The 14760-nt window shown below is 47.8% G+C and overlaps 2 annotated features.

Moving 5' to 3' along the window:
• Positions 1949–2149: a silencer, noted in NCBI's record as "peak4817 fragment used in MPRA reporter construct". NCBI's record gives its function as "represses an SCP1 promoter by STARR-seq MPRAs in K562 erythroleukemia cells {active_cell/tissue: K562}" and the evidence as "EXISTENCE:reporter gene assay evidence [ECO:0000049][PMID:32103011]".
• Positions 10263–10763: an enhancer, noted in NCBI's record as "H3K4me1 hESC enhancer chr3:126772262-126772762 (GRCh37/hg19 assembly coordinates)". NCBI's record gives its function as "activates a minimal SCP1, AML or CMV promoter by ChIP-STARR-seq in naive H9 embryonic stem cells {active_cell/tissue: H9 hESC(naive)}" and the evidence as "EXISTENCE:reporter gene assay evidence [ECO:0000049][PMID:30033119]".

Genomic DNA, 14760 nt, shown 5'->3' with positions numbered 1-14760 from the left:
TGAACAGCCCTGCCTGGGCCCGCAGGCCCTCAGCACCCACACAATCCCGCTCCACACACTCCTCTCCAGAGAATGTGCTAAGTCAGCTAGGCACCTGGTCCTGAGGGAGAGGCGGACAGAGAAAGTAAACATAGGCGTACATTGTTTTCAAACTAATCTGTTGGGTTGAAATACTTATGAAACATATATTTAATATGTGATACACATGTATATGTATGTAACATGTGATACACATATAACAACATATCTATTATATCATATGTTATACATATTAAGTCATACATATCATCTGTATTACATATGTATTATGTAATACATAATGATATATGTTATAATAATACACACAAAATAACGTGAAATACATGTTTAAAATGGCTTTTTTTCACAAGGTTTTTCACAAGAATAATTAGACTTCTTAAGATTCCATCAGCAAGAGAGTGTGGGCCAGGCACACTGGCTCACACCTGTAATCCCAGCACTTTGCGGGGGCCAAGGCAGGAAGGTTGCTTGAGCCCAAGAGTTTGAGACCAGCCTAGGCAACATAGGGAGCTTGGTCTCTACAAAAAATGTAAAAATTAGCCAGGCATGGTGGTACACACACATAATCCCAGCTATAGGAATTACAGGGAGGCTGAGATGGGAGGATTGCTTGAGGCCAGGAGGTCAAGGCGGCAGTGAGCTGAGATCCCACCACTACACTCCAGCCTGGGTGACACAGTGAGACCCTATCTCAAAAAACAAACAAAAACCCAAGAGACTGTACGTAACTTATGCTACATTCTTGCCATAAAATACCACACAGTTCTTAAAAAGGATAGGGCAGATGTATGCCCTTTGGTTTAGAAAAGCATCCCTGATAAATGGGACCTGAGAAAACTCAGAGTTCAGACTAAGAGTGTGTCCAGAGCTCCTCCAGGAGCTGACACTGAGACAGCGAGGACAGGGAAGGAGGCCGGAGTCACATATGGGAAAGGACAGACGGAAGCAGCACTGGGCAGGGAGCCCTCCTCCCTGGTGCAGACCTGACAGCCCGACGGGGAGCTCAGAGCAAAGACGGCTGGGAGGGGAGCCTGCGCCAGGCAGAACCGGACAGGCCTCCATCTTGCTCAGTCACTGCTGACCTTGTCTCAGCACCTGAGGCGAACCCCCTGCTAAGGGAGCTCACAGCCCAGCCCCCCCACCACCACCCCCACACCACGGTGGGGTGGCAAGTGCCTTCCAGGAGAGCTCTTCGAGACGCAGAGCGTGATTACAAGGACAGCCAGGGAACGTGTACATGTAGGCACAAATTCTCAGTCTGCAGCTGTCCACTTGCACAGAGAAAGGACACATTCCTGACAGCTACTGTGTGGCATCTAGGGAAGGGGAAGGTGGCAGAAGGTGCTAAGAAAATGTCACTTTTTTGTGTGTGTTTGTTTTGTTTTACATGTGTCTATGTTGTTTAAGATATTTCTGTATCCACTAACCTTATTTATTTATTTATTCATTTATTTATTTATTTTGAGACAGAGTCTGGCTCTGTGCCCAGGCTGGAGTGCAGTGGCTCAATCTCGACTCACTGCAACCTCTGCCTCCCAGGTTCAAGCGACTCTCCTATCTCAGCCTCCCAAGTAGCTGGGATTATAGGGGCCCGCCACCATGCCTGGCTTATTTTTGTATTTTTAGTAGAGATGGGGTTTCACCATGTTGGCCAGGCTAGTCTTGAACTCCTGACCTCAGATGATCAGCCTGCCTTGGCCTCCCAAAGTTCTGGGATTACAGGTATGAGCCACTGCACACGGCCTGTATCCCCTAACTTTATAATTATAAAATGATTGAGAAATTTTGGTTAAAGGTGATGGATTGACTGACCATATAAGTTTATCTCTGCTTCTGCCTAAGGAATTAAAATGTTTTAAAATTGTAAACCCACATAGGAGGTATAAATGGGAATGTCAGTGGATAGAGACCTTCTGCCTGTGGAAGAATAGAGATAGGACATCTGACTTAATGGGTCAGAAAGCCTCGCCCTCCAGGGCAAGCACTGCAGACGGGAAGTGAGCTTATCTTCCCTGCAGAAGCCCTGGGAGGCTCAGGACTTGATGGCAGCAACAAGGAAGGGATGAAAAGGCCAGAAGACCACAGAGGGAGCGGTTGAAATCTTTACTCGAAAAAGCCCATTGCTTGCCCCTGCCCATGTTCAACACCCAGGCAGATGCCACCCCAACCCCAGCGGGAGACTGTAGATTCTTCTGTGGATGTAGTGAACATGGGAGACACAAGGGTAACTCTCTGAAAGTCTGGACACCTACTGGTTAAATCCCACCAGCCCAGTCCCCTCCTCTACCCAATACAGGGCAGCAGGAAGGAGGCCACTCCCCCACTCCCCCACCAAGTAGGAGACCTTCGGCGGTCCCCCTGCAGTCAAACAGCTGCTCTTGCTTGCAATTAACCAAAAAGCGAAGCCCAGCCTGTGAGCATCCAATCGACTCTTGCTGATAAATGGGGAGCTGAGGATGACCAGACATCTGCAGAAAGCCCCAGCTTGAGAGACAGAAAACAAAGTAAACATAGAGAAGGAAATTAAAGAAACCAACATTACAGCAGGAAACACAAGGAAATTTACCAAAAATTCTAATTAATAGTTTTCGAGAAATGAGAGAAATGCTACAGCTATAAAACAAGAACAGTATGCTAATTAAAAAAAAAAAAACACCAAATGCTGGCAAGGATGTGGAGCAACAGAAATTCTCCCTCATTGCTGGTGGGAATGTGAAATGGTACAGTCACTGTGGAAGACACAGTTTTTATGAAGCTAAACATAGTCTTACCATATGATCCAGCAATCACACTCCTAGGTATTTACCCAACTGAATTGAAAACTTATGTCCACACAAAAACCTACTGCTATGTTTATAGCAGCTTTATTCATATTTTTCAAAAACTGGACTCAACCAAGATGTCTGTCAGTAGGTAAATAGATAAACAAATGAGGTTCATCCACACAATAGAATGCTCTTCAGTGACTAAAAAAAAGAAATGATCCAGCCCACACCTGTGATCCCAGCTACTCGGGCTCCTGAGGCAGGAGGATGGCTTGCATCCAGGAGTTCAAGACCAGCCTGGGCAACATAACAGGCCTTTTGTAGAGACAAAAAAGAAAAATATTTTTTTGTAGAGACAAAAATATTATTTAAAATAAGTTTTTGTCTCTACAAAAAATAATTTTAAATAATAGCCAGGTGTGGCAGTATGTGCCTGTAGTCCCAGCTACTTGGGAGGCTAAGGCAGGGGGATCACTTGAGCCCAGGATGTCAAGGCTTCAGTGAGCTGTGATGGCACCACTGCACTCCAGCCTGGGGTGACAGAGTGAGACCGTGTCTCTGAAAAAAAGAAAGAAATGATTTACCATGTCACAAAAATACATGGAGAAAGTTTAAATACATGTTATTAAGCGAAAAAAAGCCAGTATGAAAAGGCTATGTACTATATGATCCCAACTGTATGACATTCTAGGAAAGGCAAAACTATAGAGACAGTGAAAAGATCAATGGTTGCTAAAGCACAGGGCAATTTTAGGGCTGTGAAGTTCCTGTTTGACACTGTAACAGGGGATGCACCACATTCTGCCTTTGTCAAAACCCACAGAGAAGTACAACCAAGGGTGAACTATAGACTTTAGTTAATAATAACGTATCGATATTGGGTTATTAACTATAACAAGTGTGCCACTAATGCAAGATGTTAATAACAGAGGAATTGTGTTCAGGGGTGGGATTACACGGGAACTCTATACAATCTGCTCAATTTCTCTGTAAATCCAAAACTTAAAAGTGGTCTATTATTTAGTTTTTAAATGATAGCTGCAAAAAAATGAACATCAGCCTACACCTCATACATTACATAAAATTCAATTCAAAATGGATCACAGACTTAAATGTAAACTATAAAACTTTTAGGAAAAAAAGAGCATAACAGAAACTCTAGAGCTAGGCAAAGAGTTCTTCAACCTGACACAGAAAGCATGGGCCGTAAAAAAAAATTAACAAACTGGACTTTGTTAAAATTACAAACTTTTGCTTGCAAAAGGCTCTTTTAACAGGGTGAAAAGACAAGCTACAGACTAGGAGACATATTTGCAAACCACATATCCAATAAAGGACTAGTATCTAGAATATAAAAAGAACACTCAAAACTTAGCAATAAAAAAAAAATCCCTTCAGTTAATAGGGTAGCTAAAAGTTGAAAAAGAAAAACAAGCCAATCTAGTTAGAAAGTGGACAAAAGACACAAATGGACATATTATTAAAGAAGACATGTAGATGGCAAATAAGCATATAAAAAGATGTTCAACATCTTATCCATAAAGGAAACGCATGTTAAACCACAAAGATATACGCTACAGACCTAACAGAATGGCTAAAATGGAAACTAGTGGTAACACCAAATGCTGGTGAGGATGTGCATCCTAATCGCCACTCATTAGCAAAGGCAGGCTATGCTATCGTATCTTCCACATCTATCATTGAGGCTACCACTCTGCCCCCCGTCCACTACCTCTCAGCCAACAGAAGTCATTGCCTTAACTCAAGACCTCACCCTTGCAAAAGGACTATGCGTCAATATTTATACTGACTCTAAATGTGCAGAAACTGTATTGCTCGTACATTCCTGGTAGGAATGTAAAATGGCACAGCCAGTCTGGAAAAGAGTTCAGCAGTTTCTTATAAAACTAAGTATGCAACTACCATACAACCCAACAACTGCACTGTATTCCAGAGAAATGAAAAAGTATGTTCCTGCAACCATCTGTACATAAATACTCATAGCAGCATTACTCGTGATAGCCCAGATCTGGAAACAATCTAGATATCCTTCACCAGATGAATGGCTAAACAAACTGTAGTACGTTGTACTATGCAATATTATTTTGCAATAAAAGGAATGAACTATTGATACACGCAACAACTTGGATGGATCTCCAGAGAATTCTGCTGAGTGAAAAAGCCAAGCCCAAAGGATTACATACTCTGTGGTTCTATTCATATAATACCATTGAGATGACAAAATTATAGAACTGAAGAACAGATTAGTGGTTGCCAAGGATCAAGGTTAGAGGGACGGGGGAAGGAAAAGTTGTTTTGGATATAAACAAGGGTGGCTACAAGAGATACCTGAAGCAATGGAAATGTTCTTTATCTTGACTGCATTAATGTCAATATCCTGGTTGTGATATTCTACCATAGCTTTACAAACCATTACCACTGGGGGAAATTGAGTACAGAGTACACAGAAATATCTGTATTATTTATTATAAGTGCATGTGAATATAATTATCCCAAAATAAAAAATGTAATAACAACATTAAAATATGATAGCTGATTTTTAAAAATCTACCCAAGGATTAAAACATAAAGTTGCAGAAATCTGCAAGAAAGCAGAACAAAAGGAAAGAGAGAGAAAATATGAGAGAAAAAAGAAATGTTAACAAATTAGTCCAGATGGTCCCTCACTTACTAATAGAAGGCCCAGAAAATACAGTGAAACAAAAACTGTTCTGAAGCAAGAATTAAGGAAGCCAGGCAGAATCAGGCCAATCACGAGGCCCAGCAAGCCTGCAGAATTGGAGGCACCAGATACCCTGGAGGTAGGGTCTGGGCATTTGGATCCCTATCCCCCACCATCCCAGTTGAAGATGGGAGGTTTATTCTCTGTGGAGGGTGAACCCAGACTCTCTGGAGGTGGGGAGCTCAGCCTTTCTCAGGGCAGAAGTGAGGCTCTTTACTGAAAAAGTGGAGTGTGTGAGAAGCCTGCACAGGGAGTCAAGAGACGCCTGCCCCACTCCCAGTCCACTCACAAATGGCTCACCCAGGCAGGAGAATGGAAGATTGCTCTCTGGAGGAACAGCTTGGCCCCACGGGGTCACCCACCAGCCCACAAGTCCCACGGATTTCCCTTGTATGGTTTCAGCTGAACGTATAATTGCTGGACACTGAAGTGCACTCATCCTGAGAGTCTAGCATGATGATTTTTCACTAACAGGACACGCCCTTAGTCAGCCAGATCAAGAGAGAGAATAAACCTGCATCCCAGAAACCTCCTCAGCCCCTTTGAGTCGCCACCCCCAGGCAAAGACAACACTATCGTGACTCCTAGCACACAGATTTGTCTTGCCTGGTTCCATGCTTTAGGCAAAGGTGTGCTGTTTCAAGACTGGCTTCTTCTCTTCAGCATCATATTTGAGATTCGCCCCGTGACTTGCACAAATATGGTCCATTCTTGGTGCTGGAGAGCATTCCATTGTGTGGGTACAGTATTGTCCACTCTACTGTTAATGAACATTGGGGTCGTTTCCAATTTGGGCTCTTACAAATACATATTATGTGTTTAATCAGCTTTTAGTGCCTCCCTCTTAAATATGAACAGAAAGTCAAGGGATCACCTGAAGAAAGCCTGCAGTCTGAAAAACAGGGAGTAGAACAAAGGGTGTCAGAAGGAAACTGAAGGGAGTGTCTTCAGAGAGAGAAGGGAAGATCCAGAGAACATGCACAAGAGGTTCTAGCAAAGAAAATGATGAGAACGGAAAGGAGCTCTGAGAAATGAAATATGTGGAGCATAAATTTGAAAATTCAGTTGGAAGAGGGGGAGATAAGAGTGAGGAAACACTCCAGAGAGTTAGACAAAATGGCAAAAGGAAGAAACAAAACAAAATCAGATGGTTAGTCCAGGATGTCCACCGTCTAAATAACAGGCACTCAGAACAGAGAAAACTAAGGAGAGAAAAATCATCCAATAAATACGAGCATTACAGAACTGAGGGACATTGGTTCCTGCACTGAGGGGCCTCACGAAGGGTCCAGTCCAATGAATAAAGACAGACTCTCACCAAGGCACATTTCCATAAATGTCAAAGTCAAGGAGATAACAGAGGATCGGGTCACAGAGGATAAGGTTCCAACAGCATCTGACTTCTCCACAGCACTGTGGAAGCTAGAAGATGATGACACCATAGCTCTAACCTAGATTTCAATACCCAGCCAAAGTATCCTCAGTATACATGGAAAATAAAAATGTTTACATGTAAATGTAAAATAAAATATTTTCAGATACTTAAGGCTTCAAAAATGTTGCCTCTCCTGTGCACACTTACTATGAGCCTACTGGAAAATGTGCTAGGTCTATGTGCATGCCCAAGCCAGGGCAGAAAGGGGCACCAGGATATCAGACCCTGAAACTATGCCCCAAAGAGCTTTTTAAAAACCAGTGACTAACAGAAATTCTTGGGAGTCAAGCTTTTATTTTCTCATAAGTATCACGATGTTGGCCTCTAGCACACAAGGCAGTGAGCCCCTTCGCTCGGTAACAACCTTGAGGCTGGAGCCCAGAGCTAAGGCCAGGGGGTTCCCAGGGCAGTGAAGACAGAGAGACCAAGAACACAGCAACAGCCAGTGTAAGCATCCGGGGCTCCAGGAGTGATGTTGTCAAGAAAAAATTAAAGTTGGTGGATTACTAAATATGTTTGAGAAACCAACTGAGAGGTGACAGCATGCTGGCAGCCCTTGCAGCCCTCGCTGGCTCTTGGTGCCTCTTTGGCCTCGGCATCTGCTCTGGCCAAGCTTGGGGAGCCCTTCAGCCTGCCACTGCACTGTGGGGGCCCCTCTCTGGGCTGGTTGAGGTTGGAGCCGGCTCCCTCAACTTGCCGGGAGGTGTGGAGGGAGAGGCGCGGGCAGGAACCAGGCTGTGGGCAGCGCTTGTGGGCCAGCTAGAGTTCCGGATGGGTGTGGGCTTGGCAGGCCCCGCACTTGGAGCAGCCGGCCAACTCGCCAGCCCCGGGCAGTGAGGGGCTTGGCACCTGGGCCAACAGCTGCGGAGGGTGCGCCAGGTCCCCCAGCAGTGCCGGCCCACAAGCGCTGCACTCGATTTCTTGCTGGGCCTTAGCTGCCTCCCTGTGGGGCAGGGCTCCAGACCTGCAGCCCCTGTGCGGGATCCACTGGGTGAAGCCAGCTGGGCTCCTGAGTCTAGTGGGGACTTGGAGAACCTTTATGTCTAGCTAAGGGATTATAAATACACCAATCAGCACTCTGTATCTAGCTCAAGGTTTGTAAACACCAGTCAGCACCCTGTGTCTAGCTCAGGGTTTGTGGATGCACCAGTTGGCACTCTGTATCTAGCTAATCTGGTGGGGACTTGGAGAATCTTTATGTCTAGCTAAGGGATTGTGAATACACCAGTCGGCACTCTGTATCTAGCTCAGGGTTTGTGGATGCACCAGTCAGCGCTCTGTGTCTAGCTAATCTGGTGGGGACTTGGAGAATCTTTATGTCTAGCTAAGGGATTGTGAATGCACCAATCGACACTCTGTATCTAGCTCAAGGTTTGTAAATGCACCAATCAGCACTCTGTGTCTAGCTCAGGGTTTGTAAATACACCAATCAACACTCTGTATCTAGCTAATCTAGTGGGGACCATGGAGAACTTTTGTGTCTAGCTCAGGGATTGTAAACGCACCAATCAGCACCCTGTCAAAACGGACCAATCAGCTCTCTGTAAAACAGACCAATTGGCTCTCTGTAAAATGGACCAATCAGCAGGATGTGGGTGGGGCCAGATAAGAGAATAAAATTAGGCTGCCCGAGCCAGCAGTGGCAACCGCCTCGGGTCCCCCTCCCCACAGTGGAAGCTTTGTTCTTTTGCTCTTTGCAATAAATCTTGCTGCTGCTCACTTTTTGGGTCCACACTGCCTTTATGAGCTATAACACTCACCTCAAAGGTCTGCAGCTTCAGTCCTGAAGTCAGCAAGACCACGAACCCACCAGAACAGAAGGAAGAAACTCCAAACACATCTGAACATCAGAAGGAACAAACTCCGGACACGCCGCATTTAAGAAGTGTGACACTCACTGCAAGCGTCCGCGGCTTCATTCTTGAAGTCAGTGAGACCAAGAACCCATGAATTCCAGACCCACAACAATAATAAAAACCAAGCAAACCCCTAAAATGGGGCAAATCCAGAGGGAAAATTGCATAAGAAAATCAATGTAATCATGGTGCACTATGGGACTCATCTATGAACAATATTTACACAACCAGAGGAATACCAGTGCTAGAAATGCATTTCACCAAAAATCGTGATATGACTACGAGAATAGGACAGGGAGGGGGGACGTGTGTAAAAACAGGGGAAGATAAAAAGCTGCGTCCTGGTCTTAGGACAATGATAGCAGATAGTGCCTAATATTGGAATGTCTGGAATTGATGGTGCAGTCCTGTTCTCAGGCCTGGGGTGGGACATAACAGAAAAGCCATTGAAGAGGGCCGAAGACAGTTGCCTCAAGGACTAAGTGGAGTTGGAGTGTTCAAGGGAAGGAGAGGGGTCAGAAGATTTTTGTTTTAAGCTTGATAATGCTACGATTTGAATTTTTAAGCCATATACATTTTATTTTGTTTAAAAAAATACAGAAAAAAGTCTCTATTCACAATGCAATAAAACCAGATATAACTAATATAAAGGCCCTTTGCTTGGAAATTTTAAAGCTCTCTTAAGCAAAACTTGGATCAAAGAAGAAATAAAATTCCAAATTGACATATTCAGAAATAATAAAAACACTATTGGAGCTATTGTTCCTCAGAGGAAAATTCATAGCCTTAAACGTTTATATTAATAAACAAGAAGCAATGCAAATAATTGAATTAAACATCCAACTCAGTAGGTTAGAAAAAGGACAAGAGAATAATCCTAGTCATTGTTTTTGGCTGTCCTGCAAGGTGAATACTCTTTCTATGAGCAGAGCCCCACAAAAGCCCAGGTCCTCACCTTCTCCACCTCACAGTCCCTCCCAGGCTGAGTGGGGCCAACCTGTGTAGTGACACATGTGATTTGCAAGGTTAGGCCACAACATGGCTTTCTCTTGGGTCACTCGCTCCAGGGAAGCCAGCCGCCATATTGCAAGGACACTCAAGCAGTCCCATGGAGAGTCCCCACAATGAGGAGCCACAGCCTTCTGCCAACACCAGCAGTGAGCAAGTCACGTTGGGAGCAGACCCACCAGCCCCAGTCAAACCTGCAGGTGGCTGCAGCCTAATGAGACAGTGAAGCAGAGCCATCAGCCCAGCCACTTGCTGGCCCTCAGGAGCAGTGTGAGATCATCAGCGTTTGTTGTCTTAAGCCACTGAGTTTTGCAATAATTGTTATGCAGGAAAAGATAATTAGTACAATGGGAATCTAGTTAAAATGCAGGTTCTCCCTAAGCCTCATTGAGGCCTCAGATTTGGGCATTAACAAGCTCCCAGTGGTGCCCGGGGCTGGAGAGCAGGACCTAGGCTCCACCATCAGACCCTCAGCCCCAAATTTGACCAGGAAGCTGGTGACACAAGCAAGGGCCACTGTGAGGGCATCAGAGGCTGCTGTAGTTGCAGCGGGGACTGCAGGAAGGCCAAAAGCATGCGACACTGGCAAATGCACAAGGCAGCAGCCACATGTGCCTCAGCCCAGCCTTGCAGCACAACTTTGGCTGCATGGACTCCTGGAGGCTCTGTGAGGTCCCCTATAACCTTTCAATAGATTTCATTCCCTTCAAATCAGAGCTCGTTTCTGTTTGCCTGCAGCTGGGAACTCTGGCTGACACAGTTGCTCTGTGGCTAGGGAACAGTTTTTGGCCAAAGTTGCACGGCAAAGTCACTACACGGGCCATGAGAACATCTCTGCTGGGCCTCCTGGGCATGCACACCAAGGATGGTGCCAGGGAACTGTGTGTAGATAACTTAGCACTCATGAAGGCCCAACACTGAAGGAGTGGGAGAAGTCCCAAATGAAGACCCACCTGGGACTCAGGCTTATGACAATGGAGTGGGCCCTGGTGAGTGGCAGGGCCCCTGGGCTCTTAGACGGTGTCTTGGAAGGACCGACCCATCACTGGTACGTAAGTGTACAAAAGGGAGACACGAGGAGCAGTGTAATACACATAAGCCTCCCAGCGTGCACCCCAGCACAACAGAGCCTGAGAAATCTGAGGAATCAGGACATGCACTAGTGACGGCACAAATCCCATGTGCTGTGGTCCACCAGGGGCTTGGCACCCACTGGGCTGCCTGCAGGAGATGCAAGGACTATGTATTGGGGGTGGGCAAGTGGAGGAGGAAAAGCCAGCATCTTTGCCCAGGAGGACATTTTTGTTTGCTGGGATGTTTCAGGAGCTCTGGGGAGCCCCAGGCAGGTGTGGGGAGAGTGCCTGGGGTGCCAGCAGGACTGAAGTGGCAGAGTTTGGGGATAATGTGCTTAGGTTCAGAGAAACCAAGTCCTGGGTTCAAGACTCTTGAGTGGGAGGGGAGAGTCTGCAGACAGGGGCCATTATGCTGCCCCACGGGGACACATGTGGGCACATTATTTGCCATCTGGGAGTGTACACAGGTCCTCTCCTATTTCCTGACCCTGTCTTATCCAACTGCAGAGAATGGGTGTCCTGGGTGACCCAGAGAGAAGTGCTGTCTGGCCAAGCACCTGGTCAATCTGACTCCAGGGCCTGGCCCACGCAGGGACCTTGACACCATCAGGGGTCTTAGTTGCAAACCTTGGAGACTCTATGCACTGATAGGGCTAGCTCAGAGGCTCTTCAGGAGGCCTGGAGGAAATGGGGACAAAGCAGGAAAAGCCACAGCCAGGACCACAGCCAAAAACCACACCCCAGCCCAGGCTGGTGCGGAGTCCCCTGGTGCTGCCATGGAGCTGTGGGTGCGCCTTTGCATAGCCACCGCTCACCTCGAGCAGGCTGCCACTGGTGGGGCTGACCCTGACCAGATCCTCCACGCTGTGGTGTGCTGCTGCAAAGGAGGCTGGGAAGGGAGCCTGGACCTGCCCAACCTTGCAAGGGAAGATTGAGCCTCGGCAGGCAGAGCCGCCCGGGGTCGAGAGGGAGTTCAGATCCTGGGCAGCCAAGCCAAGGCAGTACTGTGCACTCCAAGGCCGGTCCTAGCGGCAGCCGCAAGTGTGGGAAGGTCTCCAGGTCCTTGGCCTTTGGATGCACTCTGAGCGGACAGGGAAGTGGAACACTGAGGACATTCCAGACTCAGCCCCAGCGGCTCCCGGCCTGTTCTCCTGATTCCAGACAGAGTGGCACCGCCTTGGGGCTGACTACCAGAACTTCTGCCACACTTTATGGGCCAAAGTGGGTCATGGAAGCAGCCCGATTTCATGGGATGGGAAATGGACTCTGTGTCTTCCTGCAAGGAGCAGCAGGGGATGTGATGGAGACAGCTTTGCAATCACGGCCCTGACAGCCTTGTCACCTCCTAACCTGAAGCCCACGGTGGCTTCTGCGTGGGGAGGTCCTGTGAAGCCTGCACTCAAAGCTCTGTGGGCACAGCAGGGTTGGTGACCACAGTCATGGCCCCACAGAGGGGTGGGGAGGCCTCTGATTCTTTAAAGCACAGAAGTTCTACCCTGGGAGGTGAAAAATTGTCCATTGTACCCAATTTTCGGGTCTTGCAAAGCCCTGGGAATGGCTGTGGAGACAGCTCGTGCCACCTTGGAGAGGTGTCCGTGGCACCAGGGGAGTGGGGGACAACTTTGCACACTTGTCTGGCTGGAGATAGGCAGGGTGTGTGCACAGAAGCGCAGCCATGTGTGTGCAAAGACCAGCATTCAGTTGTCGTTCATTTTTCCATTCACTGGGTATTTACTGAGGACCTACTGTGTGCTGAGCACTGTCCCAAGGGCTAAAGACACAGCAGGAGCTGAGACAGACAAAACCCTTGTTCTCACAGGCCAATAAATCAGATAGATAAAACTATGGCAATGCGTGTTTTGGGGAAAAGATGGCAGGACTGAGGGACAGGGGCCACTGTTGGAAACGGCCATTCAAACAGGGAGGGAGTCGCTGAGAAAAAGGCATTGGAGTAGGTGTGGTGGATGGAGAATTCAGACCAGCAAAGCTTAGAATTCCTAGGCCTGGTGGCTATTTAGTTTCTAGAGCTCAGTGGTCAGAACCCAGAAACCCAGCCCCAGGATCACTGGCCATCCACTCTCATGGTGCCCCTTGCTGCGGATCTGCAAGCCTCCAGGGCACAGAGCAGTGGGGAAATTTCTTCTCCAAACTCCAACCCATCCTCACCATGGAAGGCATTTTGAGAGTCAGTTGCTATGGGAAGTATTTCAACTGGCAGGAATTCAAAAGCCAAGAATGACTGCCTATCAACCCTCAAGGGCCCCCACCTGGGAGATTTAATGGGGCTTTATCGGGCGTGCTGGGAACTCGCCCCAGGAATGAAGTGGCTCTGCAGCCATGCAGCAGCTTCCTAATCCAGGATTACGCTGCCAGGAGGCAGGGGCCGTGCTGCCTGCCCTTTTTATTGGTGTCCAAGCAGGCACCCCCAGCCATCATCGACCTCCATGGGTGGAGGCAGAGGGGACAATCTCAACTACTGGATGGTTAAGCTACGGAACATGCCAATCTCTCACCTGTTGGTGGCTACAGCAGCTCTGGGTAACAGACACCTGTCCCAGGTGCAGTGTCCAAGACTGCAGACAGAGATGGGCTTCTGCCGGTAACCAGAGCTAAAGACTGCTGGAAAAGACCCATGCTTGTGAAAAAGGCCAGTGAGGAGCCCTGCTGGTTAGGAGGAGCTGTCAGACTGGGGATGGGGTTGTGACAGTAATGCTTCCCCATCCGCATCATGCCCGCCCTGGTTCAGATCTCTAAGGAAATGACCGTGATCAAGCAGCATGACCAGGCTCCAAAAGGGGCGAAAGAGGAGCTCCCTGACTCCCGCATAGTGCTCCCTCAGTGGGTGGGAGCAAGAATGGGAAACCCTAGGGGTGGAGAAACCCTGAGGGGAAGTGTGAGCCCCACCCCTCCAGACATTCATCAGGGTCAGGGCCTCTGGGACTTAGAGGAAAAACAAAATGCTGCTCACAGGATCATGGCAGGGGGTGAGGGCCCCCGTCCAGTAAGGGTTTGTTGCACAAAACAGACACCACTGCAGTGATTCAGGAGAAAGGTATGGAGCAGTGGGAACGGCATGCTCACTCCATCACTGGGAAGGCTGAGAAATGACCTCTGGTGGGCTCTCCAGAAGACCCCCACTGGAAGTGTTGATATCCAGAACATTCTTCCCCAGCTGTGAGGCAGGAGTCGACAAGACATTGTATCCAAATTGCAGAACACCAAAGATGAAAAGAAGATCCTAAAAATAGCCAGTAAAAAAGAAAATCACCTTTGAGGAAAAAGTTTGACTGGCAGCCCACCTCCTCAGGGCAGCTACTGAGGCCACAGAACAGTGGATTGGTGTCTTCAAAGTGCTACAAAAATGGCTCCACTTAGCATTGCATACCCAGCAAAACTATCTTTCAAGAAAGAGGGTGAAACGAATTAAAGGTAACTTCAGAAAAAAAGAGAGGGTTTATCACCAAGAGACACGTCAAAGGAACTTGTGTTCCACGTTCTGGTGTCCAGCATTGGCGTTCCTCTGTTTTCCCTGGACCCTGCCCTCCCTGCAGCTCCTCCTCTGTCTTCCCTGGGAATCGCCCTCCCTGTAGCTCCTCCTCTGTCTTCCTGGACCCCGCCCTCCCTGCCAGCTCCTCCTTTGTCTTCCTTGGGCCCCACCTTGTCTGCCAGCTCCTCCTCTGTCTTCCCTGCAGCTCTTCCTCTGTCTTCCCTGGGCCCCACCCTGTCTGCCTGTTCCTCCTCTGTCTTCCCTACAGCTCTTCCTCTGTCTTCCCTGGGCCCCACCCTGTCTGCTTGCTCCTCCTCTGTCTTCCCTGCAGCTCTTCCTCTGTCTTCCCTGGGA

Source organism: Homo sapiens, chromosome 3 (assembly GCF_000001405.40).
Source record: "Homo sapiens chromosome 3, GRCh38.p14 Primary Assembly".
Classification (NCBI taxonomy): domain Eukaryota; kingdom Metazoa; phylum Chordata; class Mammalia; order Primates; family Hominidae; genus Homo; species Homo sapiens.
Note: the sequence above shows the minus strand (reverse complement) of the source record. Positions and strands in the feature narration are given on the sequence as shown.